Source organism: Homo sapiens, chromosome 9 (genome assembly GCF_000001405.40).
Source record: "Homo sapiens chromosome 9, GRCh38.p14 Primary Assembly".
NCBI lineage: Eukaryota > Metazoa > Chordata > Mammalia > Primates > Hominidae > Homo > Homo sapiens.
Window position 1 is genome coordinate 112154387 of NC_000009.12, and position 27039 is coordinate 112181425.

At 45.3% G+C, this 27039-nt stretch overlaps 1 protein-coding gene and 1 pseudogene across 15 annotated transcripts in view, besides 4 other annotated features; both read right to left on the reverse strand.

The window, feature by feature from the left end:
- The window catches only part of SUSD1 (sushi domain containing 1), a 134515-nt gene extending 113604 nt beyond the window's left edge, over nucleotides 1–20911 (reverse strand). For all 15 annotated transcript variants that reach the window (XR_007061338.1, XR_007061340.1, XR_007061339.1 and 12 more), the window contains exons 1-2: nucleotides 20747–20911; nucleotides 3114–3227 (exon numbers count right to left, since the gene is read on the reverse strand). Coding sequence is in view for 11 of the 15 variants with exons in the window: in XM_047423727.1 (XP_047279683.1) it covers nucleotides 3114–3227; nucleotides 20747–20849 (217 nt within the window). In the remaining 4 variants the exon portion in view is untranslated. The remainder of the gene's footprint in view (nucleotides 1–3113; nucleotides 3228–20746) is intronic.
- Nucleotides 11589–12090: an enhancer, noted in NCBI's record as "NANOG-H3K4me1 hESC enhancer chr9:114928255-114928756 (GRCh37/hg19 assembly coordinates)". NCBI's record gives its function as "activates a minimal SCP1, AML or CMV promoter by ChIP-STARR-seq in primed H9 embryonic stem cells {active_cell/tissue: H9 hESC(primed)}" and the evidence as "EXISTENCE:reporter gene assay evidence [ECO:0000049][PMID:30033119]".
- Nucleotides 12091–12590: an enhancer, noted in NCBI's record as "NANOG-H3K4me1 hESC enhancer chr9:114928757-114929256 (GRCh37/hg19 assembly coordinates)". NCBI's record gives its function as "activates a minimal SCP1, AML or CMV promoter by ChIP-STARR-seq in primed H9 embryonic stem cells {active_cell/tissue: H9 hESC(primed)}" and the evidence as "EXISTENCE:reporter gene assay evidence [ECO:0000049][PMID:30033119]".
- Nucleotides 19028–19627, reverse strand: RPL29P20 (ribosomal protein L29 pseudogene 20; annotated as a pseudogene).
- Nucleotides 20370–21029: a silencer, noted in NCBI's record as "silent region_20188". NCBI's record gives its function as "represses an Ori minimal core promoter by ATAC-STARR-seq in GM12878 lymphoblastoid cells {active_cell/tissue: GM12878}" and the evidence as "EXISTENCE:reporter gene assay evidence [ECO:0000049][PMID:35858748]".
- Nucleotides 26663–26812: an enhancer, noted in NCBI's record as "active region_28820". NCBI's record gives its function as "activates an Ori minimal core promoter by ATAC-STARR-seq in GM12878 lymphoblastoid cells {active_cell/tissue: GM12878}" and the evidence as "EXISTENCE:reporter gene assay evidence [ECO:0000049][PMID:35858748]".

A 27039-nucleotide genomic window follows, 5' to 3' on the forward strand; every position in this document is an offset into this window, starting at 1 on the left:
GCCTGTAGTCCCAGATACTCAGGAGCTGAGGCAGGAAGATCACTTGAGCCTGGGAGGTCGAGGCTGCAGTGAGCCATGGTCACACCACTACACTCCAGCCTGGACAACAGAGTGAGACCCTGTCTGAAAGAAAATCAAACAAACAAAAAAAACTATCTTTGGGGAGATCTGCATAAGAGCTTAGAGAGACAGAGCAGACTCTCAAGCCATAGTTAGGCCAAGTGTCCGTCCTAGGTTACAGAACACTATCCAGTGGTTTTAGAAACAAGTCCAGCTGTCCATAAAATGGAATATTCCTGTCCTTTGCTGTTGTTTTTGAGACAGGCCTCCTCTGTGGACCTCACTGGAAGGGACATTTCGGTTTGCAGAGGCGTCTAGAATTCTCAAGACCCTAGGCTTAATACCATGTTATAGCACCTCTGGCACATGTATAACCTTGCCTGCAATCTATGTAAGGCAAAGTCTCAGCAGGCCAAGCATCGGGATGCACAGTGCCTAGTGCCTGGGAGTAGTACCACATAAATTAATAAAGCCCTTTCTGCCCATTAAGAGGAGTTTCTTTGTTCAAAAATCAAAGGGCAGGGCCAGGTGCGGTGGCTCACGTCTGTAATCCCAGCACTTTGGGAGTCTGAGGCAGGCAGATCACCTGAGGTCGGGAGTTCAAGACCAGCCTGGCCAACATGGTGAAACCTCGTCTCTACTAAAAATACAAAAATTAGCCGGGCGTGGTGGTGCCCGCCTGTAATCCTAGCTACTCGGGAGGCTGAGGCAGGAGAATCACTTGAACCCAGGAGGCAGAGGTTGCAGTAAGCCAAGATCGCACCACCGCACTTCAGTCTGGGTGACCGAGGGAGACGCCATCAAAAAAAAAAAAAAGTCAAAGGGCAAGCTAGCACCCATGGGAGGAGGAATTCCTTTGGGAAGTGAACAGAAAAATTTATCCATTCTTCTCAACTTCATTTCTATCTCACTGCTAGCAAGTGCGGGTGAGGAACGGGAGGGTGAGAAGCATTAGGAGAAATTCCCCCTGGAGCCTCAGACTGCAGGGTAGCCAAACTTCTCATGGGTAGAAACCTAAAAAACAAGAGTCAAAGAAGGCTTCACTCCAGCCTGCAGAATGGGCAATGGTGGGTGACTGTAAAAGCTTGTGTCTGCAAAGTGAAAGGTGACTTTTTGAAGACAAGACTCAGTGGGGATTTTTTTTTGGTTTTTTTGTTTGTTTGTTTTTAGTTTCTTTTTTTTATTTTTAAGAGATGGGATCTTGTTCTGTCGCCCAGACTGGAGTGCAGTGGTGGCCAGGTGCGGTGGCTCATACCTATAATCCCAGCACTTTAGGAAGCTGAGGCAGGAGGATCACTTGAGCCCAGGAGCTCAAGACCACCCCGGGCAATGTAGTGAGACCCTGTATCTACTAAAAATGAAGAAGGGGAAGAAGAAAAGGAAGAAGAGAATGAAGAAGAAGAGGAAGAAGAATAAGAGGAAGAGGAAGAAGGAGAAGGAGAGAGGGAGAAGGAGAAAAGAAAGAAGAGGAGGAGGAAGAAGAAGGAAGAGAAGGAGGAAGGATGGAAGGAAGGAAAAGAAGGAAAGGAGAGAGAAAGAAAGAAAGAGAGAAAGAAAGAAAGAGAGAGAAGGGAGAGAGAGAGAAGGAAGAGAAGAAGAAAGAAAAACACTAGCTTAGCTGGGTGTGGCAGCAAGGTTGCAGTGAGCTATGATCATGCCACTGTACTCCAGCCTGGGAAACAGAAAGCCCTTGTCTCTAAAAATAAAATAAAGGTAAAAAAAAAAAAAACTCACTGGCCGGGCGCAGTGGCTGACGCTTGTAATCCCAGCACTTTGGGAGGCCAAGGCTGGTGGATCACGAGGTCAGGAGTTCGAGACCAGCCTGCCCAACATGGTGAAACCCAGTCTCTACTAAAAATACGAAAATTAGCTGGGCATGGTGGCACATACCTGTAATCCCAGCTACTCAAGAGGCTGAAGTAGGAGAATCACTTGAACCTCGGAGGCGGAGGCTGCAGTGAGCCAAGATCGCACCACTGCACTCCAGCCTGGGCGACGAGTGAGACTCCATCTCAAAAAAAAAAAAAAATACTCACTGAAGCTTCGAACTCCTGGGCTCAAGGCATCCTCCTGCCTCAGCCTCCCAAATACCTGGAAGTACAGGCATGTGCCACCACATGTGGCTAATTTAAAAAAAACTTTTTTTAGATATGGGGGTCTCACTATGCTGCCCAGGCTGGTCTCAAACTCCTGGCCTCAAGTGATCCTCCCACCTCAGCCTCCAGAATAGCTGGGATTACAAGATCGAGGCTCAGTACCTCGCTGTTATTTTTCTTTAGGGAGAAAAAAAGCACACAAAGATATCACAACAAGGCTGTATATACCATCTATCCACAACTGTAAGGTAAAACCATCAATATTTTTAATGCATATAACAAGGTTGCTGGGAGGAAATTGGAAGATTATTGCAACATTTACTATTGTAAAATTGTTGTGAAAGTCTCCCTCTCTCTGAATTGAGCTTGAACCTGGATATTGTCTGACTGTCATGGCATGGTGGATATCATGAGGCAAAAAATAGTTTCAGATGCTTCTAACCTAAAGGGCTTTGAGTTCCTTTAAGTCATCTAAGTCCCTAAAAGTATCACAACTACCAAAAATTTGGAGGATGAATTCTGACAGACATAAGACCCAAAGCAACAGTATTTTACCAATTAACCATAAAGTCCAATGGCAAATTGTTTTGTTTTTCCTCATAGTACTAATATAGTTTTATATCAAAATAACCAGAGAAATTAAGCAATGCAATATTCACTTGAGTTGTGAAGTTAAACTTAAGACTTGAAACAGATGTCAAATTTGTGTTAGGTCCCAGAGTTTCCAGAGATTCAAGTTCAATGACCTCTAACATGAGGAATACTATCTTGGAAACACTAGAGAAAGAATGTATCCAAACACTAAAACAAAGACTTATTATAATTGACAAAACTTCTCATAATAAAAACATGTGAACAAAATAACAATGTTTTTCCCCAAGGACATCAACTCTTTAATACAAGAGAATCTTGTTTCTCGATTCAGCTTTTCAACTTAACCCAGAGTTCAGAACTTACCAACACACTGAGTCCTCCCGTTCCCTACAAATCCATAGTTGCAAATACAGATCTTCTTCCCTTCTCTTTGCTGGCATGTGGCATGTTCATGGCAAGTGGCACAGACGTCTAAACCTGAATCATAAATTGTATGTTTCAGAAAAAGAAAAATGCAAGATGAGACACATGTAGTTAGTGGACATTTACAACGAAGAACCAAAATTTGAAGACCAAAATAACACAGGACACACCTAGTCTCATCCTTAAAAACCTTCAGTGGCTGTTTATTTCTCACAGAATAAAGTGCAAATCTCTTCCTCTGTGTGGCAATGTCTTTCTTTCTTTCTTTTTTTTTTTTTTTTCAAGACATGGTCTTGCTCTGTTGCCCAGGCTGGAGTGCAGTGGTACAATCACAGCTCGCTGCAGCCTCAACCTCCTGGGAGAAGGTGAACCTCCCACCTCAGCCTCCCAAGTAGCTGGGACTATAGGCACACATCACCACACCTGGCTAATTTTTTTTTTTCTTGTAGACACAGGGTTTTGCCATGTTGCCCAGGCTGGTCTCGAAATCCTGAGCTCTAGCAATCCACCCACCTTGGCCTTCTAAAGTACTGGGATTACAGGCGTGAGCCACCGAGCTAGGCCACAGTCAATGCTCTTAGTGATCTCACTCCAGACATACTCCTCCAGCCTCATTGTTTCCGAGCCCCAACCACACATGGTACTTGCCAGATGTCAGAGGCTAACTACTCTTTCCCTAACAGAATATCTACTATCCTACTCGCATGCCACAATCACAATACTCTCTATATACCTAAAATGCCTATGCCTTCTTCTCTACCTAGCTAGCACCTATTCATATTTTAAGACCCAGCTTAATGTCACATTCCCTCTGAGGTCTTCCCCACTACTCCATTTTTTTCTTTTTTTGAGGTAGAGTCTGACTCTGTTGCCCAGGTTGAAGCGCAGTGGCATGATCTCAGCTCACTGCAGCCTTGACCTCCCGGGCTCATGCAATTCTCCCCACCTCAACCTCCTAAGTAGCTGGGACTACAGGCGCACACCACCACACCCATCTAATTTTTGTATTTTCTGTACAGATGGGGTCTCCCTATGTTGTCAAGGCTGGTCTCGAACCCCTGAGCTTGAGGGATCCACTGGCCTCAGCCTCCCAAGGAGCTGGGATTATAGGTGTGAGCCAATGCGCCCGGCCCATTCCTCCATTCTTAAGGAAAATTAAATGCATCTTCCTCTGTGCTCCCCTAACACTGGCACATTCCCTATCAATCATGTTAATGTGTCATTATATTTGGTTCTAGCTTTGTATTCCAAGCTCAGTATTATGAATGAGCCGCTCAAGGATAGGGATGATGTCATTTGCCCATATGTTATGATGGCACAGTGCAGACACTCAATATATTTTTATTGACTGCCTGGATAGAGAAATCTGAAATCCTGCTTGCTGCAACTCAAAAAGCAAATGGAGTGAAGAGGAACACAGCTGCCTATTACCCTACTCATTTTTTTTTTTCCAAAGAAAAAAATGAATGTGTTTAAGATGACAGTGATATAACAGCCAAGTCCCAGTAGGATGACCAGATCCCAATTATTGAAATAAACAGCAGAATTGTTTGAGGCTAAAACTTCTAAAACATCCAAATCTACCAGATGGTGATATATGGCCCAAGATCAAACAAGAATTTCTACCCAAGGCTATGTGGTATACTGTGTTTCACTCTCAGTGCCTCTGTAATTTCAGGAGCGACCTAGTAAAGAGAATCTTTCTAGCATTGAATTTCATTTTAGTTTTGGCTCCACTGTTACCCAGGTAAGACAGCCTAGCCCTTAGGCTGCTCCAGGCATGAAACCAACTGAGACTAGGGATTTCTAAACACTCTAACCATGCTGCTGTTCTGCGTGTTTTTTAAAAAAATAAAAGACAACACAAAAATAAGACAAACCGCTAATCATCACTAAGTAATGCCAAATTAACCATGGAATATTTCCAAAACTTATTGTATCTCAGACCGTAAAGACAAATGCAACAAATTCCAAACAAGTAAAAATGTTAAAGGCTGAATTATCTGACCACATAATAATGTAATAGAACTATCAAACAAAACATAAGACTGGCATCCCCAAAAAAACATACTTGCAAACCACAGAACATTCTCCTAAATAATTCTTAGGACAAAGGGAATATCAAAATTGAAATGTTTAACACTAGGTATAAAAACATATTTACTCCACAAATGTAAGACTTATGCGTTTTTATACCTTAAGAGTATACTTTTATACTTCAATGCGGCCTTTAAAATTTTTACTTTTTTCAAATTTGTTGCATTTTCCTTTATGATCTGAGATAGAATAAATATTCCATGGTTAATTTGGTATTACCTAGTGATAATTAGTGGTTTTTCTCATTTTTGAGTTATCTCTTATTTTAAAAAAGAACACACAAAACAGCAGCATGGTTAGCATGTTTGGAAATCTCCCAGTCTCAGTTGGTTTGATGCCTAAAAAAGAGAGAGAAAAGCAGGCAGCCAAGAAAAAGAAAAAAAAAAGAAAACACTAGAATTTTAATATAAGAAACCTGAAAAAAGGAAAAAAGAAAATGGGGATTTAGGGATTAGTAAATACAATTTTAAAGATGTTAAAGAATTAGAAAATATTATCAAATGCACTGGGGGAAAATTACATAAAAGACTAGGAAGGTATAAACCCTGAGAGAGAAGATGATAGCAGACAAAAGATGCTAAAAGTATTTCAGAAAATGAAAATGAGGCTGGGCGGAGTGGCTCACGCCTGTAATCTCAGCACTTTGGGAGGCCAAGGCGGGTGGATCACTTGAGGTCAGGAGTTCAAGACCAGCCTGGCCAACGTGGTGAAACCCCATCTCTCCTAAAAATACAAAAATTAGCCGGGCGCAGTGGCAGGCAGCTGTACTCCCAGCTACTCAGTAGGCTGAGGCAAGAGAATCGCTTGAACCCAGAAGGCTGAGGTTGCAGTGAGCTGAGATCACACCACTGCACTCTAGCCTGGGCAACAGAGTGAGACTCCATCTCAAAAAATAAAAATAAAGAAGATGAGAAAGAGATGGATGGGCCAGGTACAGTGGCTCATGCCTGTAATCTCAGCATTTGGGAGGCCTTGATCCCAGGAGTTTGAGACTAATCCTGGGCAACATGATGAGACCTCATCTCTGTTAAAAAAGAAAAAGAGATGGATGCATGGTAATTGCCTTAGCAGAGAGGAAGAACTAAAAGCCAATCCTAGAAAGGCCCAGGAAGCAGAGTCTTTGCAAATTTCAGAAGACAGACATAAGGAACAGGAATGAAAGTTCAAGGAACTGGTTGAAAATACCTGCAAGGAGTAGTTAAATGCCTGGATTCCTTCACTGATGCCGCACAAAACAGAATTTTACGACCGGGAGAAAATGAACCAGAAGGCTCCACATTAGAAGGACAACACACCAAACTGAAGTGAGGATGAGTCCCCATACCTAAATGTCCATCATATGGGTAAGTATATTTAACCATCTTAACACATTAACATTTTAGCACAAAACATTTTAAACCGTGTGATCAGTACATTGTCAATTCATAATGACATGCAGGGCCAGGCACGGTGGCTCATGCCTATAAATCCCAGCACTTTGGGAGGCTGAGGCAGGTGGATCACTCGAGGTCAGGAGTTTGAGACCAGCCTGGCCAACATGGCGTAACCCTGTCTCTACCAAAAATACAAAAACATTAGCCAGGCGTGGTGGCACACACCTGTAGTCCCAGCTACTCAGGAGGCTAAAGCAGGGGAATCACTTGAACCCTGGAGGCAGAGGTTGCAGTGAGCCAAGATAGCACCACTGCACTCCAGCCTGGGTGACAAAGTAAGACTTCATCTCAAAAAAAAAAAAAATTCATAATGACACGCAACCAAAATCTTGGAAATACTTTCTAAATAATGGATCCTGGGTCAAGTTGAAGAACCCATTTGTGATCAACCCTACAATGATGAACATATGAACATTCTCCCCAATTTAATTTGTAGATAGAATGCAATCTTGGCCAGGCAGGGTGGCTCATGCCTGTAATCCCAGCACTTCGGGAGGTCAAGGTGGGCAGATCACCTAAGGTCAGGAGTTTGAGACCAGCCTGGTCAACATGGTGAAACACCGTCTTTACTAAAATACAAAAATTAGCCAGGTTCAGTGGTATGCGCCTGTAATCCTAACTACTCAGGAGGCTGAAGCAGGAGAATCGCTTGAACCCGGGAGGCGGAGGTTGCAGTGAGCTGAGATTGTGCCACTGCACTCCAGCCTGCGTGACAGAGCAAGACTCCATCCAAAAAAAAAAAAAAAAAAATGCAATCTTATTAAATACCCTAAATCTTGGGTAGTGTTTCAGTTTGGGATGATGAAAAAGTTCTGAAGATGGATGGTAGCGATGGTTGCACAACAATATACAACTTGCCTCTCAATTGCACACTTCAAAATAGCTAAAATGGTAAAATTTTGCCTTATGTCTACTTTACCACAATAGTAAGAAAATATTGAAAATTACAGTTTTTACTTTAAAAATCAACTTTATTGAGATATAATATGCACACAATAAAACACCCCCATGTTTAAGTGTGCAGTTTCAGTGGGTTTTAACAAATGTAGACAACCATGAAACAACTGCCTAATGCAAGATGCAGAATATATGATGCACAATTTGCATCTGATGATAATCTGATAATATATGGTACACAATCTGATGATAAACATTTGGTTTGTTTTCACTTGGGGGCTAATATAATTAAAGCCTTGATGGCAAAAAAGGGGAGGGAAACTCAAATTTCTATAGGGAAATCATTTTGTGTCTGGATCCCAAATTTCTCATGATGCCATTGAGAGATGGTAGATAGCAGGTACATAGCTTTAGAGAACAAGTAACTAAAGTAACCCAAGCTAAGGAAGCCTGTAAGAATTTTTCACTGAAAACCAAAGAAGCCCATTATAAGCTACTTCCCCAGTGAACAGACAATATAAACACGCGGTTCAAAGGCTAAAAACCTTAAGTAGACACTGAAGTCACATATAAATGTGTGTAGTACAATAATAGACATAAATATGATTCTATTGAAACAATGAAATATGAGAAATTAAGTAATTCAAACTTAAAGCTGTTGGAACTTTAAATTATACCAAGCCTTGAGAGGAATGTGGCTATGCAGTTTGAGTCACAAAGTATACAGCTGTAACTTCTGCCTCTTTTTCCCCCTGTAAATAATTAAGCCCAAATGGCACCAGAGATAAGACCCCCTTAGATCGCTATCTCTCCTCATGGAGTAATAAAGTAATTTTCCTTGGAGTGCAGCAATCTGTAACCAACCAAATCGCTGTGGCATATGCACTGGTCTTGTATGGAAAATGTAATTCTGCTACAATTTCTACATAAATGAAACTGTAACTTCCCCATTTTTGAATGAACACTCCATTCATTTGAAGTCAGTGTTTCCCAGTGGCCACCTTCAAGTTTTATGCTTGAATAAACTCTATATGTAATCATACGTTCTGAATCTCATTATTTAAGGTTGACAAATGCAAATTTTTTAGATTTTTTTCTTATATAAAATACTTGTCTAGGGCAAGGTGCAGTGGCTCACACCTGTAATCTCATCACTTTGGTTTGTTTGTTTGTTTGTTGAGACAAGGTCTCACTCTGTCGCCTCTGTCACCCAGGCTGGAGTGCAATGGTGTGACGACAGCTCACTGCAGCCTTGACCTCCTGTGCTCAAGCTATCCTCCTTCCTCAGCCTCCAGAGTAGTTAGGACAACAGGCACATCCCACCACACCTGGCTAATTTTTTGTTTTATTTATTTACTTTTTTAGAGACAGGATCCCACTATGTTGCCCAGGCTGGTTTCAAGCTCCTGGCCTCAAATAATCCTCCTACCTCAGCCTACCAAAGTGCCAGCCTGATCAACATAGCAAGACCTCATCGCTACCAAAAAAAAAAAAAAATTTAATTAGCTGGGCATGGTGGTGCATAGCTGTAATCCCAGCTACTTGTGAAGCTGATGTGGGAGGATTTTTTGAGCTCAGGAGATCAAGGCTGCAGTGTGCTTTGATTGAGCCACTGCACTCCAGACTGGGCAACAGAGCTAGACTGTCTCTTTAAAAATGTTAAAAATAAAATTTAAAAAACTTGTCCTTATAAAGATGCAGAGATTATATAGATCCATTTGCAAAAACTCAGCTGGGCATGGTGGCTCACGCCTGTAATCCCAGCACTTTGGGAGGCCAAGCAGGGCAGATCACTTGAGGCCAGGAGTTTGAGACCAGCCTGGCCAACATGGTGAAACCTGTCTCTACTAAAAATACAAAAAAAATTAGCTAGGCATGGTGGTGGACACCTGTAATCCCAGCTACTCAGGTGGCTGAGGCAAGAGGATCACTTGAACCCGGAAGGCAGAGGTTGCAGTGAGCCAAGACTGTGCCACTGCACTCCAGGCTGGGCAACAGATCAAGACTCTGTCTCAAAAAAAAAATAAAAATAAAAAAAATAAAAAAACTTAATATCAGCTGGAAAATGGCTATTTCATGTAACTATTGAGTAAATCTAATAAACATAAAAAATATGAAGAAGAAAAGAGGTGGGACTCACTCAGATAAATTAAAGGAAGTCCAGTCTGAATTAGTGAAGGATAGAATAGAAAATGTTTTAAAAGAAACTGAATTAAGTTCAAGTTTATTTAATAAATAGCCCCAGACAAACACATGGCCTTAGAGGAAGGCAGCCAGGTATAGGGGGAAGCACTGGACTTGAAAGCTAGTTAGAGCTGGATCCTAAATCTAGCTGAGTCTAATTCACTGTGTGACCTTGAGCACACCACTTAACCTTTCTGGATCTCAGTTTTTTCACCTTTAAAACAAGGACTTTGGGCTTCTCGAATTTTAAAGTGCATTCAAATCACCTCGGGAGGCTGAGGCAGGAGGGTTGCTTGAGCCCAGGAGTGCAAAGTTACGTAAGCTATGATCATGCCACTGCACTCCAGCCTAGAAAACAGAATGAGATCTTGTTTCTAAAAAAAAAAAAGAGAAAACTCATATATCCCATAAATATACACACCTACTATGTAACCATAAAGGTAAAAAAAAATACATACATACTAAAAAAGAAAAATACAAACAAAACACCTGGGCCAGGCACAGTAGCTCATGCCTGTAATCCCAGCACTTTGGGAGGCTGAGGCAGGCGGATCATGAGGTCAAGAGATTGAGATCATCCTGGCTAACACGGTGAAACCCCATCTCTACTAAAAATACAAAAAACTAGCCGGGTTTGGTGGCCGGTGCCTGTAGTCCCAGTTACTTGGGAGGCTGAGGCAGAAGAATCACTTGAAGCCGGGAGGCGGAGGTTGCAGTGAGCCGAGATTGCACCACTGGCACTCCAGCCTGGGCGACAGAGCGAAACTCAGTCTCAAAAACAAAACAAAACAAACAAACAAACAAAAAAATACCTGGGGATCTTAACCTTTGTTAAACTGCAGGCTCCAATTCAGTTGGTCTGGGGAGGAGCCCTATATTTTGGATTTCTAAGAAGCTCACAGGTGGATCACATTTTGAGTAGCAGAGGATAAAGAGCCCCCCGAAAGTCCTTTCTCCCTAAAGTTCTGACATTTCCTTCTTTTTTATTTTTAACTTTAACTTTTGTGAGTACATAGCTGTTTATATTTATGGGGTACCTGAGATGTTTTGATGTAGGCATGCAATGCGTAGTAATCATGTATTGTAAAATGGGATATCCATCTCTTTCAGTATTTATCCTCTGTATTATAAACAATAGTCATAGTCTTTTAGTTATTTTAAAATATACAATTAAATTATTATTAACTATAGTAAACCTGTTGTGGTGTTGTGCTATCAAATACTAGGTCTTTGACACTTTTTTTTTTTTTTTTTTTTGAGACAAGGTCTCGCTCTGTCCCCCAGGCTGGAGAGCATTGGCACGATCACAGCTCACTGCAACCTCTGCCTTCCAGGCTCAAGCGATTCTTGTGTCTCAGCCTCCTGAGTAGCTGGAACCACAGGTGTGCACCACCACACTCGGCTAATTTTTTTATTTTTAGCAGAGATGAGTTTTCACCATGTTGGCCAGGCTGGTCTTGAACTCCTGACCTCAAGCAATCCACCCACCTCGGCCTCCCAAAGTCCTGGGATTACAAGTGTGAGCTACCACACCTGGCATACACTTCATTCTTAGGGTACCTGTTTTAATGACCCATTAAGAATCATTTATTTAGATGAGATACACACATCAAAAAGAAAGGAAAGAGAGAAAGAGAGAGAGAGAAAAAGAAAGAAAGAAAGAGAAAGAAAGAAAGAGAAAGAGAAGGAAGGAAGGAAGGAAGAAAGAGAAAGAAAAAGAAAGAAAGAAAGGAAGGAAGGAAGGAAGAAAGAAAAGAAAGAAAGAAAGAAAGAAGAAAGAAAGAAAGAAAGAAAGAAAGAAAGAAAGAAAGAAAGAAAGAAAGAAAATAATTTAGCATAAGTATAACCGCAAAGACAGTAGCTGGCATGCAGTAGAATTTGGCTCAATACATGTTTGTTCCCCACACCAGCAAAAAAACGTAAGATGGGTTCCAGGCTACCAAGGCTTCTCAGACTATCTGCAGATGAGAAGGTGGTTTCCAAAGAAATACAGGCAGGGGTGCTTATTATTCAGCCGTGATTAGCCTATTCTGCAGGACTTTGCGGGACAACTCTCTGACCACACGGGTCCACTGTTCCACAGCCTGAGGCTCAGTTAAGAATCACCTGGAGACGGAGTGACTAACTCATGCTAGTTTTAATACAAAAAGTCCTGTGTCCCAGGAAACCCCTCAGTTCTGTGCAAACCAAGACAGCTGGTCATGCTTCCTGGCAATCCTGTTAAAACACAGTGTCCCCAAAGATTCTGATTCAGTAGGGGAGAGGCAGGGCCTGAGAATCTGCATTTCTAAACTGCTCCCAGGTGGACCACACAGAGAGGAACACTGCCAGACTAGCTCAACCTCAACCTCAGGGACTGGAGTCAGAATCCTGGGGAAAGAAAAGGCAATACTGAAAGAAGTCTTTCACCAAGTCTCGATTGCCACATAGCACAGCTGTGGGACAAATGTAATAGAATAACCCAAGGGAGAGGAATTCTCCAGGCCAGAGAAAGATCACTAGGGCTTTGCTAGGATCTGAGGGAGAGCTGTGTCGGGGGCACTTGGTACCCACGTCAAGGATGGCTTTAGTTCTGTCGTCAGCATACTCAGGGCCTGAAAGCAGGGAGGTGGTTGCCATGTAGTAACCGAGGGAATGACTGCAGAGGTGAGGGACCCCGAGGGATGTCTAGAATTACTGGCAGAGAAACAGGAAAGTTGAAGAACCCAAAATCTAAAAGGAGAGAAAACCTGACAAGTGCTCTTTGTTACTATTACCACATCCCCCGGCTAAGGCTGCTGAGCTAGCTTCACTACCCGTCCCAGCTCTGCAGTGACTACCCCAGCTAAAACTACACCTAACAATGAGAGGGTGAGACAGGTTTTGGTGTCTCAACCAGAGTCAGGGTTGGAGTCATGATCCTTAGTTATGTGAGTTTAGCAAGTTAAACTGTCAGTTCTCCAATTTTTTTTTGTCTCCCTCTTTCACCCAGGCTAGAGTGTAGTGGCACAATCATGGTTCACTGCAGCCTCGACCTCCCAGGCTCAGGCGAGTCTCCCACCTCAGCCTCCCAAGTAGCTGGGACCACAGGCATGCACCACCATGCCCAGATAATTTTTTATTATTATTATTTTATAGACACGGGATCTCCCTATGTTGCCCAGACTGGTCTCTAACTCCTGGGCTCAATCGATATTCCTGCTACAGTCTCCCAAAGTGCTGGGATCACAAGCATGAGCCACTGTGCCCAGCCAGGTCTCTCATTTTAATCCATGAGATGAACATGTTGTGGCCAAGATTAAATAAGAAATATAAATGCTGTATGAAGTGTAAAGCAACACGCAAATATGAGACAATTGACATGAATATTTATATCCATTTCCACAGATTTTGTTATTATTGTTAGAAACAGTCTGCAAGATGCAGTGCCTGGTATTTGGCATGGTGGTTACAAGCGCTTGGGTTAGTTACGATCCTAGCTATGCCACTTACTAGCTATGTAATCCTTGGAGAGCTCTGTGCCTCAGTTTCCTGTAAATCTGTAAAATGAGAAGAATAATAAACCTACTTTATATGGTTGTTGTGAGGATTCAAAAGTAAATGAGTGTATATTAGTCTTTCTTCATGCTGCTGATAAAGACATACCCGAGACTGGGTAATTTACAAAGAAAACGAGGTTTAATGGACTCACAGTCCCAAGTGGCTGGGGAAGCCTCACAGTCATGGCAGAAGGCAAAAGGCATGTGTTACACAGCAGCAGCAACAGAGAATGAGGGACAAGTGAAAGGAGAAACCCCTGATAAAACCATCAGATCTTGTGAGACTTATTCACTACCACGAGAACAGTATGGGGGAAACCTCCCCCATGATTGAATCATCTCTCCCTGGGTCCCTCTCACAACACATAGGAATTATGGGAGCTACAATTCAAGTTGAGATTTGGGTAGGGACACAGCCAAACCATATCAATGAGTTAATACATGAAAAGCAATTAAAATGTGTCAGACATTGTTATAAGCAACCACTCAACGACTCTTTGTTAATGAATAAAAGAAGGTACTAACACTGGTGGTTGGCTAGCCAACTCCCAATTACTCCAATGGGAAGAGTGACAGAGAAATGCACTGATGCAAAAATCAAGAGCGGTATCTTTGTGCATTCAGGTGTCTACCCATTGATGGGCTGATATCCCAGAAACCATAATATTCAAATTTACATAATCACTCCCTGTCTTCGCCACATCCTCCCAGCCTTCTGGGTAACAGCTGACTCAGAAGTTGAAAGTTCAGCTCCTCACCTTTTCAGCCCTGCTCACCTGTCCTTCCTCTCCACTGCAACCAAGTAAAGCTGCAACTCAGGATGGGAGGGAGGCTGCCAGCTTCTGAGAAACACTCTCACTCTTTACTTCAATACACGAGCAACAACTTCAGTGTACTTCTGAGACATTAGCTGATGGACTTTAATAGTACAGTAAAGAGATGTTCACAGTCAAGAGAAGAAGGTAGTTTAAAAGCACAAATGCAGGCCAAGCACAATGGCTCACACCTGTAATCCCAGCATTTTGGGAGATTGAGATGGGAGGATCACTTGCACCCAGGAGTTCATGACTAGCCTGGCCAAAAATCTAGACCCCATCTCTAAAAACCCAACAGCAACAATAACAAAAAAGCACAAATGCAGTGCTTAAATTTTAAATCTGCTTTTAACCTAACCCTCAACCATTCACAGTCAGACCAAACAAATCCAGCACAACCTTCCTGAGATTCTGTCTGTCAAATTTGGAAAGACAGATCAAACAACGGGAGGAAATAAGCCAACGGGGCCCAAAACTCAGGAAGAAAAAGCATTCCCAAGTGGTCTCTAACACTATATAAAATTGCATTGCTCTTAAGAGATTGCACCAAATTCCAGAGGTGGAAGGAATCTGAGAAATCTCATGTTCTCTCCTTTCCAACATCCCTGACAAAAAAAAAATCCAGAAATGAAAACATAGACTCTGCTTTTAAATCCCTCCAAGACAGAGAGCACTCTACTCTCTCCAGCAATGTAATATTTGCAGGGCTATTCAAATTGTCATATATTTCCCACACCCACCCAAATTTAGGACTGACATTCTCCATCAAGAACTCTCAGTTGGGCTGGTCCAAAGGTAGTGAGTTATCTCAATTGATTGTGGACAGTCAGTTACAGATCAAACTTCTCATTCTACTCTTTCCCCCTTCTCACTACTGTACTTGACTAGTCAAAAAAAAAAAAAATCAAAAAACAAACAACAAAAAAAGAACTCTCAACCTTTCCTCATAAAAAATGGCTCACACGACCCAATCCTGTTCACTTTCTGGTGTGACCAAGATCAACCAGCAGTGGGGCCCCCACACCTGGCCTCAGGACCAGAAACCAACCCACACTGAGTGCCATTCATTTACGCCACACCCTACGGTTCACGTCAGGCAGTCACTCACTTAACCCCTACCGGTTCTTTTCACACCTGTCTCATACCTGATTCATTCTCCAGAAGGGTGTACCTTTTTTTTTTTTTTTTGAGATGGAGTTTCACTCTTGTTGCCCAGGCTGGAGTACAATAGCATGATCTCGGCTCACTGCAACCTCCACCTCCCGGGTTCAGGCTATTCTCCTGTCTCAGCCTCCTGAGTAGCTGGGATTACAGGTGTGGGCCACCATGCCCCGCTAATTTTTGCATTTTTAGTAGAGATGGGGTTTCTCCATGTTGGTCAGGCTGGTCTCGAACTCCTGACCTCAGGTGATCCATCCACCCCAATCTCCCAAAGTGCTGGGATTATAGGTGTGAGCCACCACGCCAAGCTGAGTGTATCCTTTTTCTTAATCTTTGCAGTTCATTTTCCCTCTCTCTTCTGCAGAGCTGAGGCCAACAGACTACTTGGGATTTTGAGCTACAGAGACCTAGCATCCCATTTTAGGATTTGACCAGAAGACCAAGAATACACCCAGGACCAAGTCCCTGGAGGTGGAAGACAAGCCATGGTGGGCATCTTCATCAACTCTAATCCTGCACCCTTTATTTTAAGTAACTTTAAATCACTCCAAAACAATCCACTCACTCTATTTCTCTTCTTTCCTCCTGTGGCTCACCCTGAATAGTGAATGTGCTGCTGTGATTCCTGAAGACAGAGGGAAGATCAAGCATGAAATGCATGATGAGTGAAGTCAGGTGACCTTTGTATACAGCAAGAACAACTTCCTGACCTCCAGCCAGGCCTGAGCCAACAGGCCTGACTCTAGCAACGAATGCCAGAGAAAGGTTAAGAAACAGGACTAACTGGTTCTACCCCTCCTCGCCCATTCCTACCCTCTGGACTCCCCTGGGCCCTGCACCCCACCCAGCCACCAACACCCTCCTGCCATATCAATTACGCGAAACACACTTTCCTTACACTCAGGTCATCTGACTTCAGTTCAACTGACTTCAGCTCTCCTCCCCAAAACATCTTTGATGCCAATTAATGTCATTCAGCCCATGTTGCCAGTGACAGACTGAATATACAAATGGACAATGGCCAGATCATATATATATATATATATAGAGAGAGAGAGAGAGAGAGAGAGAGCCTTGCTCTGTCACCTAGGCTGGAGTGCAGTGGCATGATCTCGGCTCACTGCAACCTCTGCCTCCCAGGTTCAAGCGGCTCTCCTGCCTCAGCCTCTGGAGTAGCTAGGATTACAAGCGCCCACCACCAGGCCCGGCCAATTTTTTTTGTATTTTTAGTAGAGATGGGGTTTCACCATGTTGGCCAAGCTGGTCTCGAACTCCTGACCCCAAGTGATCCACCCACCTCGGCTTCCCAAAATGTTGGGATTATAGGCGTGAGCCACCGCACCCAGCCCATATATTAAAATAGAAGTCTAACCCACAATCTGCAGCAATCATTCCAGGAACTCTGTAGCAATCAGCCCCAAATGGTCAGGCTTTAATCAGTAACGGCCAGCTACGCTAATTTTTGCCCCCAATTCCAACTTGGGACTAACCAGAAAAGCCAGATATGGCCCTCTCACCAATCACATGGGATGCATGCTGCTAGAAAACTTCTCCAGCTGGGCGTACCTGAACCACCACCACCCCCAACCCCCTTCCTTTTTCTACTGTAAAACTTTTCCACCCCCAGCCTATCTTTGAGTCTCTGCCAAATGGAAGTGATGATGGCTGACTCCCTTGTCACAGCAAGTTCTGAATAAATAGCCTTTGCTTATTCTTGTTTGGATGGTATTCATTTATTTGCCTACCAGATTCCTAATACAAGCCACTGTCCCTACCCACAAGGAGCTCTTAGTTTAGTAAACAATCACACTGCAATATGGTATAAGTGTACAACCAAGGCACGGAATATGGTATTACTGGTGCTGTAAAGAGAAGCGGATAGTGGCAACGGACTTCCTAGGAGGAGTGAGGACACCCAGGCTTGCTTTGAAATATGAATAGCACTCATTAAGTAGCCCGCCATGGGAGAAGGGAAACACAGTCCTCTAATCTTCTTCCTCGCCCCCCACTTTAAGAAACTAACCTCCCCCACTTATAGCCCAAGTTTAATTTTTGACCTGCTCTGTCCATTAACTATCTCATTTATTTTTGCTTTTTCATTTTTCCCCTCTCTACTAAATAATACCCCTCAGTCTAAAATATGTTTGAGTCTGTTTTGCATTCTCTAAACATCTTGGACTGACTTGACCAGCCCAGCTGAATGCTACCTTCGTTTTCCTTCTAATTTCTTTAAAGAGTATCTACTCCGAGGCCAGGAGCAGTGGCTTATGCCTGTAATCCCAGCAATTTGGGAGGCTGAGGCGGGCAGATCACTTGAGGTCAGGAGTTCGAGACCAGCCTGGCCAACATGGTGAAACCCCATCTCTACTAAAAATACAAAAATTTGCTAGGTGTGGTGGTGCATATCTGTAATCCCAGCTACTCGGAAAGCTGAGGTAGGAGGATTTCTTGAACCCAGGAGGCAGAGGTTGCAGCAAGCGAGATCATGTCACCGCACTCCATCCAGCCTGGGCGACAGAGTGAGACTGTCTCAAAAAAAAAAAAAAAGAGTATCTACTCCGTAAACAAGGTCTCTGCCCTCAACCTAGAGCCCTCACATCTAGCTCTCACCCTCTCTCCTCTACTAGCTCTGGGTCTCCACTGACCAGATCCATCCAATTCAAAGGCTTTTTCTCAATCTCTGCCTCTCGGCTTCCCATCTCCTAGTTTCCTTGACTAAATGAGCCTAGTCTTTCTCCATCCTACCCAGATGCTGCTTCTTCCTTCTCGACTTGCATCTACCATCTAAACTCCAAGAATCCTCTCCAAGGATCTGTCTTTCATCCTCCCAATCTTGTCAACTTCAAGGTTTCAAGCAACCATCAAGTCTATTGATTTCATCTCTCCAAATCCATAACAGCACCTCAAATTCAGGATGTCCAAAACAACTAATCATCTTTCTTTCCAAATCTTTCTCCTTCCGTAGAAACATATACCAAGTCACCCAGCCCCCAAGCCTTAGTGTCATCTTTCCCCTTCTGTTCCCTTGCACCTTCATATCTGTTATTAAATCCTTCCTTCCAGTCCATTTCCACCTTACTGTCTACATTCAGTCCGTTTCTGCTGTCATTACTGTGGGCCCAGTCCTCAGAACTTCCAGGCCAGCTATTGCAACAACTTCCTCAATGGGCTTGTCCAAGCCTCCAGTCTTTCCCTACATTGTCGACTGTCAGGAAACCTGCCCTTCATAAAACCAGGTTCTCCAAGGTTGAACATGAAGGGAGAATGTCTAGATAAGGAGAGGGGGCTCAACCAGGAAGCCTTGACTTCTGTTTCCCCAAATTCACCCCCAAAACCTTTAGTTACAGATGACCTTACGTAGCTACTAGCTGTGTTCAGCCATCTTAGTCTAACAATTCAATGGGATCATACTGGACAGTTTCCTACCTTAGAGATATCACAGGAAGATCCTGAAATAGACGCCAAGCATCTGCAAGTCCTATGCGCACTGTTCTCGGAGATAGAGCCAAGGAAGGAATCTTAACCAGGGCACCTAATATTACAAAAATGGCCACTCCAGAAGATCAAGCCATTGAAATACCCATCAGGCATGGTAAAAGTCCCAAGCCAAAGAGAATGGGGGTGGGGGCGGCAGGCAGGATTCTCAACCACAAGTCTCCTTGTATGTCATCACATGGAAATTTCCTTCCACTTCAGGATCAGCGTTTGGTTTTAGTAAGGAAGATGGGGGTTCCTTAGACCCTCTTTCCCCCGCCTCAAGTTTACTTATACAAATAGCAAAGGAGGACATCAGCCCCATGCAGATGGCAGTCCAAGGGGGACAATCCTTCTGTCCTCACGTTGGCAGACACAGATCTCTACTCTGAAGGCTTTGTAGGGGCCTGAGCTCCTTCGGGAGTCTGAGCTGGAACTGAAGCTGGAGCTGCAGCCTGAGCCTTGGTTTGATCCTTGACCTTGGTCTTTGGCTGGCACAGCCTGAGCCCCTTGGCAATGCGGGCACGAGCACGTTTCCCAAGCTTGAGGTGGGCAACGTAGGCAAGAGCTGACACCCTTTGGAATCTTGGGCTTAACCTCCTTGGGGTTTATGAGGGCAAGGCCTCAGCACGTGCACTCATGGCCTTGGCACTGTCGCCCTGCATCTTCTTTAGGCCCCTCTTATTGTGCTTCTTGGCAAACCGCATGTTTGTCAGGAACTTGGGGTCCACCCCTTTAAAAGATTCGTATCTTTGTGATCCGGGTTTCATGATGCCGTTTCTGTGCCATTTTCGGGACTGGTTGTGTGTGGTGTGGTGCTTGGATTTGGCCATGTCTGCACTGTAACCTGTGGCTCCCGAAGCGCCTAGAACTGGCTAGACCCACTTTTCTTGTCACTCCCTGAGACGGCTTCCAGTGGCTTCCAGGCACAGCTAAGTCCAAAGGCCTAGGTCTGCCAATCAAGGCACTCTGCCCTCTGCCTCTGGTGCCTCCGTGTGCTTCCTTCCCTTCTCCCCCGGGCCTGAATTCTGAAGGAATTCATTCATTCTACACTCATTTGTGGAGAGGTGACAGTGCCTTCTGCTATGAGCTGGGATACCTTTTTCACATTTTCCCATATCCAAATATGACCAATCATTGATGGCCCAGCTCAAGGGTCACCACCGATTCCCCTTTCCCTGCCCTCACCACCCACACCTTCTCATGGCACCCATGCCATTCTGCCTTGTATTACAGTTATGTGGATGAATGTCACCTCCCCTGCGTGTCTGAATCCTCTGTGTAATTCCTACTCAGCTCAACACTGCATTTTGCAGAGGAGGAAAAACAACTCCCTCGATTGCTTGGAAATAGAACATTTGCTGGTCTAAATCCTCCAGACAATGAGCTCCACGAGGGCCCGCACTGCCCGCCCTCATCGCGCACAGGGAAGCTGTTCAAGGGCCATCTGTTGAATGAATGAGTGAATTAATGGCTTCACTCCTGTACTCTTCCTTACGCGTCTTTCTCACCATATTTAGCATCCGGCTCTCTAACAACGTGAAAAAATTAAAAGTGGTAAGAAAATTGCTTCGGGTCAAAAATGTGTCATGCAAAAGCCACCGCAGAGCCGGAAGCGTGACAGCGCCGCAGAACGCCCTGGCCTCCCCGCCCTTCCCCGGGCGCCGCCCTGCCCGGGTCCGCGCTCGCGCCCAGCCCCCACCCCGCCTCCTGGGCAGTGGAGGTCCCTGGGGGCCCGGCCAGGCCGCCTTAAAACCGGCGTCCCCCGGCGTCGCGGGGTCGGGCGGGGGCAGGGAAGCCCGGCGGGGAGCCCCCCGCTTCTCTGAGCTCCTCCTTGCCGATCTCCAACGGCCGGCGCGGGCCCCACCTGCGCCCCACGCCTCGGCACCGCGCCGGCCCGGCCCAGGGGCGGGGAAGCGTCCGTGCGCCCAGAGTCCTCGAGGCCCAGCCGGGGGCCCCGCCGGCCGCCCGTGCCCGTCCCAGCCCGCACTCACCGTCGGGGCCCGGCGCTCCCGCGGCGCCGCGGGCCAGGCCGAGCAGCAGCAACAGCGGCAGCAGGCGGCGAGACGGGCCCGCATCCCAGGGCCCCCGGCCCATGCCGCCGCCGGTCCCTCCCGGCGCGCCCGCGCCTCCTCCCGGGGCCCTCAGGGTGCAGAGATAAGGCTACAGGCGCCGCGGGGAGGGGACCAGCCGGCGGCTTCCGGCGCCGCCGAGGGAAGCGGGGGGCGCTGCGGGGTCCCCGGGAGGCCGCAGAGCGCGGGTCCTTCCTCTTGTCGGGGCCTGGGCTTAGGACACGCCCGTTCCGCGTCCGTCTCTGGCTCCGCACTTGCTGCCCTCTCGCCGCTCACATTCGCAAAGGGGGACAGACACTCATCGGATAATGACACAGCTGGACGCAGAGCCCCGGAGAGTGCTGGGGAGGAAATGTTGCGGAGGATTCAAGCCACTCGAGGGCTCAGGGAGGCACCCCCGGGGAGAGGGGTGAGGGGAGCAAGGGGCGGAAATCTTCCAGGACGTGAAAGGGAGCTGGATGAGGTGACCACAGCGCAAGGCCCAGATGAGAGGTCGGAAGACGCAGACCCAGGCCACCCAGGGGCGACACACTTGACCAGGTGACACCTGGTCACCGGGAGTGAGAGAGAGTAGGGCTGTGATGGAGGGAGGGGCTGGCATCAGTCCCCGCTGCTCTGAGGACACCCGGCTTGGGACGCGCTGATGCCAGCCCCTACCTCCATCACAGCCGTACTCATCCCAAGGGAAGGAGTAAACCAAGACCCAAGGATGAGAAGGACGTTGGGGAGGAATCTAAGCGGGAGTTTGTTGTAGAAATGGGGAATGGGGACCTAGAGTGAGAGCAGAGGGTTGGAGAGGGGCGTTGAGCTGCAGAGGGAAGTTAGCCCTCCTAACCCAAGTGATGGAGGTCGCCGGGAAGCTGTCACAGTTTCAAGCAGTGAATGACTTCATCACTGACACATCTCTGTCTGTTCTGTGGAATTGGGATTGGGGTTGGGTTGGGATGTGGAAGGCAAAGAGTCCAGCCCGGAGTTGCTGCAGGAATCAGGCAATAGAAGACATGTCCTGGCCCGGTGCGGTGGCTCACGCCTGTAATCCCAACACTTTGGGAGGTCGAGGCGGGTGGATCACTTGAGGTCAGGAGCTCGATACCAGCCTGGCCAACTTGGTGAAACCCCGTCTCTACTGAAAAAAAAAAAATTAGGTGGGCACGGTGGCAGGCACCTGTAATCCCAGCTACTCGGAAAGCTGAGGCGAGAGAATTGCTTGAACCCAGGAGGCGGAGGTTGAAGTGAGCCGAGCTCGCACCACTGCACTCCGGACTGGGCGACAGAGTGAGACTCCATAGACAGATAGATAGATAGATAGATAGATAGATAGATAGATAGATAGATAGATAGATAGACAGACAGACAGACAGACAGACAGATAGAGATAGAGATAGATGTGTCCTGCAGCTGGGCATTGACAAATGAGTGTGAAGAGGGCAGTGTGTAAGAGTGGAATCCACTAGGTTTTATGACTAGTCGGGGAGAAGGAAATAAATAAGATCCGGTTTGAAGGCTTTGAGCTTGTGATGTCTGTGGGAGCGCAGCCGAGAGCAGGCACCCCACTACTTCACCCCATATCCTCACTTGTTTACTCTCTGCCATGAGCCTGCCGTAAATCTCACCACTTTCAAACACACCCATATAAGGGCTAAAGTTGTGGAGTCTTAACAAGTAGTTAAAAATCAACTTCAAGCTGGGTGAAGTGTGGCATGCCTGTAGTCCCAGCTACTAAAGAGGCTGAAGGGCAGGAGAATTGCTTGAGTCCAGGAATTCAAGGCCCATGTGGGCAATACAGTGAGACCCCCTCTCTTAAAAAAACAAACAAACAAAAACAAACAAAGAAAAAGCTCATCTTCCTAGGCTCTTTTTTCCTCTTGGGGAGACAAGGTCTTGTTCTGTTGCCCAAGCTGGAGTGCACAGCTCACCACAGCCTCAACCTCTTGGGCTCAGGTAGTCCACTAGCCTCAACCTCCCAGTAGCTGGGACTACAGGGGCGCAGCATCATGCCTGGCTCATTTAAAAAATTTTTTTTGTAGAGACAAGATCTGGCTATGTTGCCCAGGCTGGTCTCCAACTCCTTGGCTCAAGCAATCCTCCCACCTTGGTCTCCCAAAGTGCTGGGATTACAGGAGTGAGCCACTGCATCTGGCCTCACAAGCTCTTTTCTTAGCAGGCTTTCTTGAAAATTATTTTTGATCAACAAAGACAGGCACCTGTTTGGGGAGCAATAGATGGACGGTGTGTCTCTATTATTTAGACAAATTTTTTAAGTTCAGCTCTCCATAAACTTCAAACTTGGAAATCATGTCATTGTTTCAACAAATATACCATTCACTTAAGATTTTTAACCAGCCTATACCACTTCATCCCCACTGTGGCCCCTTGCAAAATAAATAAACTTAAGTATATATGTATATACATTTTTTATTGATAATGTCAGGAAAATTTGTCCAAAACTTGGAAATGGGCAAAAGAGATTACTGGGTATCCTTTCAGTGGGGTGCTGGGTGCACCGTCGCTGGACTTCCTATTGACTAGGCTATTTTGCAGCACTAGAGGGCTAGAAGTTAACTTGCCGAAAACTGATGATAATGTAAAAGATTTATGTCCATAGCAGTGAAAATGAATGTTTTCCAAGAGAAATATAAGTGATCAGTCCTTTCTGCCAGAAAATAAATAAGTTAAACCCACTAATTTCATTTTGTCCTATATGATACTAACTAGTTAACCAGTTTGGCACCTATTAGCAAATTCATGTGATCATTCCTGATGTTGGATTTTCCTTTGAACCTTAACATCTTGCTAGTTCTCCTTTGAGATCAACAACTTACTGAGTCCTCCATTAATCAATTGAATAGAATCTTAGATATGTTTTCATCTTATAGTTGCATAAGTCATGTTTTCAACTTTTTGAAAATTATATTTCAGGACAATCCATCTTACTCTATATTCCACATTAGATTGCTTGACTTTCATCAATTCTTTTCATTGGCTCATTTTTAAATTTCAAATACATATTTTTGGTTAAAACAATACTTCTTACTCAATGGTGAGTTCATTGGATCACATAATGAAAAATTATCTCCTCATCCAACAGTATTTGTCACAAGAATTAAAACAGAATCTTGAACCAGTGTTAAGTTTGGAGGAACAGTGGGATTATTGCTGACAAAGTATTTGACTTAAGAAAAATGTTCTTTCAAGAGAGCATGGTTAATATACCAGCATTTTCTAAAAAAGAACTTGAAAGAAGCTTTCTTCTCCTTCTCCCTCTCCTCCATTTCCTCCTCATTCTTCTTCTTCTTTCTTTGAGACAGGAGGATCTCACTGTGTCACCCAGGGTGGAGTTCAGTGGTGCAATCATGGCTCACTGCAGCCTTGACCTCCCAAGCTCAAGCGATCCCTCCACCTCAACCTCCCAAGTAGCTGGGACTACAAGCACATGCCACCATGTCCAGCTAATTTTTTAAAAAAAATGTAGAGACAGGGTCTTGCTGTGTTGCCCAGGCTAGTCTTGAACTATTGGCCTCAAGGGATCCTCCCGCTTCAGCCTCCCAAAGTTCTGGGATTGCAGTTGTGAGCCACTATGCCTGGCTGAGACTTAGTGTTTAGTGGGTATCGACTTTCAGTTTTGCAAGATGAAAAAAGTTCTGTGGATGGATAGTGGTGGTGATTGCACAACAATGTGAATGGACCTAACACTGAACTGTACACTTAAAAATGTTTGTTTGTTTGTTTGTTTTTGAGACAGAGTCTCACTCTTGTTGCCCAAGCTGGAGTCCAATGGCATTATCTCGGCTCACTGCAACCTCTGCCTCCCGAGTTCAAGCGATTCTCCTGCCTCAGCCTCCCAAGTAGCTGGGATTCCAGGCACATGCCACCACGCCTAGCTAATTTTGTACTTTTAGTAGAGACGGGGATTCACCATGTTGGTCAGGCTGTTCTCAAACTCCTGACCTCAAATGATCCACCCACCTCGGCCTCCCAAAGTCCTGGGATTATAGGCATAAGCCACCACACCCAGCCTTAAAAATGTTTAAAATTGGCTGGACGCAGTGGCTCACACCTGTAATCCCAGCACTTTGGGAGGCCGAGGCAGGTGGATCACGGCGTCAGGAGATCGAGACCATCCTGGCTAACACGGTGAAACCCCGTCTCTACTAAAAATATAAAAAAGTAGCTAGGCGTGGTGGCAGGCGCCTGTAGTCCCAGCTACTCTGGGGCTGAGGCAGGAGAATGGCGAGAACCCGGGAGGCAGAGGTTGCAGTGAGCCGAGATCGCGCCACTGCACTCCAGCCTGGGTGACAGAGCAAGACTCCATCTCAAAAAAAAAAAAAAAAAAAAGTTTAAAATCGTTTTTAAAAATTCAATGACAAAAAACGTTTATGCCCATTTTTATTTTTATTTTATCAAATAGGCAAATATTAAGGACTTTCCAAATTAGTTTTGGTTCTGGCAAATCTATATGGGATCAGGTTTACAAGAAAGATATCTTGGAAAGCCCCATTTTTCCCAATATTCCTGAGACATAAGTGAATGGGATTTCGGGAGAGCTCTGAGAGGACTCTGGAGAGCCATGGGTATGGGAAGGCAGAGGGCAGGCAAAAAATTTCATTCTGAACACTGGTTCAGTATCTCTAGGGAGATTTTCCCCCAAGCTGCTCTTCTCAGTGTCGGATTCCAGTGTGAAGAGGTTTGGGGTTTGTCCAGTGGGTTCCCATCTGGCTACAAGGCCAGAAGGAGAATCGAGGAGGGAGATTGGATACTAAATATCCTGGGACTCTCCTGGAAAAAAATCCATTCTTGCTTACCACACTCCTGACCATAAATGATTACAGAGACTGCTTTGGGACAGCTCCTGGCAGGCTTGCAAATTGTTATTTTTGTTTTTAATTTAATTTATTTATTTAGAGACAGAGTCTTGCTCTGTCGCCCAGGCTGGAATGCAGTGGCGTGATCACAGCTCACTGCAACTTTCAACTTCTGGGCAAAAGCAATCCTCCCTCCCCAGCCTCCCATAAATTGTAAATAAATTGTTTATATGTGGGTTTTTTAGGAATGGCTTGAATATCTAATTGTAATGAGTTTAATATACTCTGGGGTTGCACTTACTGCCTGAAGTTTGCATTAACAGAAATAATTTAAATATTTGAAGCCTTTGAAGTATATTGGCTGAAAACTTGTGTGTTTGAAACAAAGTAACAGTCCCTCTGTAACAGTCTGCTCCACCCCCACCTCATCTAACCCTGGCTGACTCGACATCTGTGAAAACCCCAAGGCCACCTTCAAAGAAGCCACATTACCCCTCCCAGAATGGAGTCATCATCTCAAGCAGATTTGTAAAGGCTGATAAGAAGGACCTGTCCCTCTGGAGAAATGCCCTTCTGATGAAGTCTCTAACTCAAACAAAGGCCAACTTCTCATTTTTTGAAGCTTAATGACTCTCAGATACTTTGCTGCTATTGGAGAAACAGTAGGATTACTCTGCCTTCTCCAGCATACCTCTCCCTCCCTTTAGACACACACATACATCAAACACCCTACCTGGAGTTAGTGTGTAGACCTTGGGCAACAAGTGCACTATTGTCTGCTGCACGTGGCTGTGCTACAACCAGTGTGTAATTTACCCAAAACGCTAGTATTCTCAGAAAAGCAAAACAAGCATGGGTGGAAAGGGACAGCTCAGCTTAGGGGACAAGTCCTGGACTCCCTATTTTTACAATAGTGCTCTCTCTCCTCACTGTAATGGACTCAAGAGACCCTGTGATCCCCCCAGCAGAAGCTGGGGCAGCAGCAAGATTTAGATTTGGACTTGGATTTGGGAGCAAACTTCAGACACTGCAACAGACAAGTTCAAGGAGCAGCAGGCTTAGTATTCACCTATCCTCCCCCGACCTCAGGTGGTGGAGACAACACCAAGTGAGACAGGCTGTGTCACCCAGTCTCTGTCTCTGTCACACACACACACACACACACACACACACACACACACAGCATCACCTTCCTCACTTGCAAAAGCCTCAGCTGTTGGTGTTTTTATTCCACAAACCCTGAAAGGAAGCCTGCTGACAGCCCATTTCCGGACCCAGGATCAGCCACCCACAGCCCTAAGGAGAAGCAGGCCAGGCAGTGGGGACCAAATCAGCAATGAGCAGCACAGTCGCTGAGGAAGCCACAACAGCTGTGAAGGCGGATGGTTCCAGACCTTCACTGATAGAGAGACC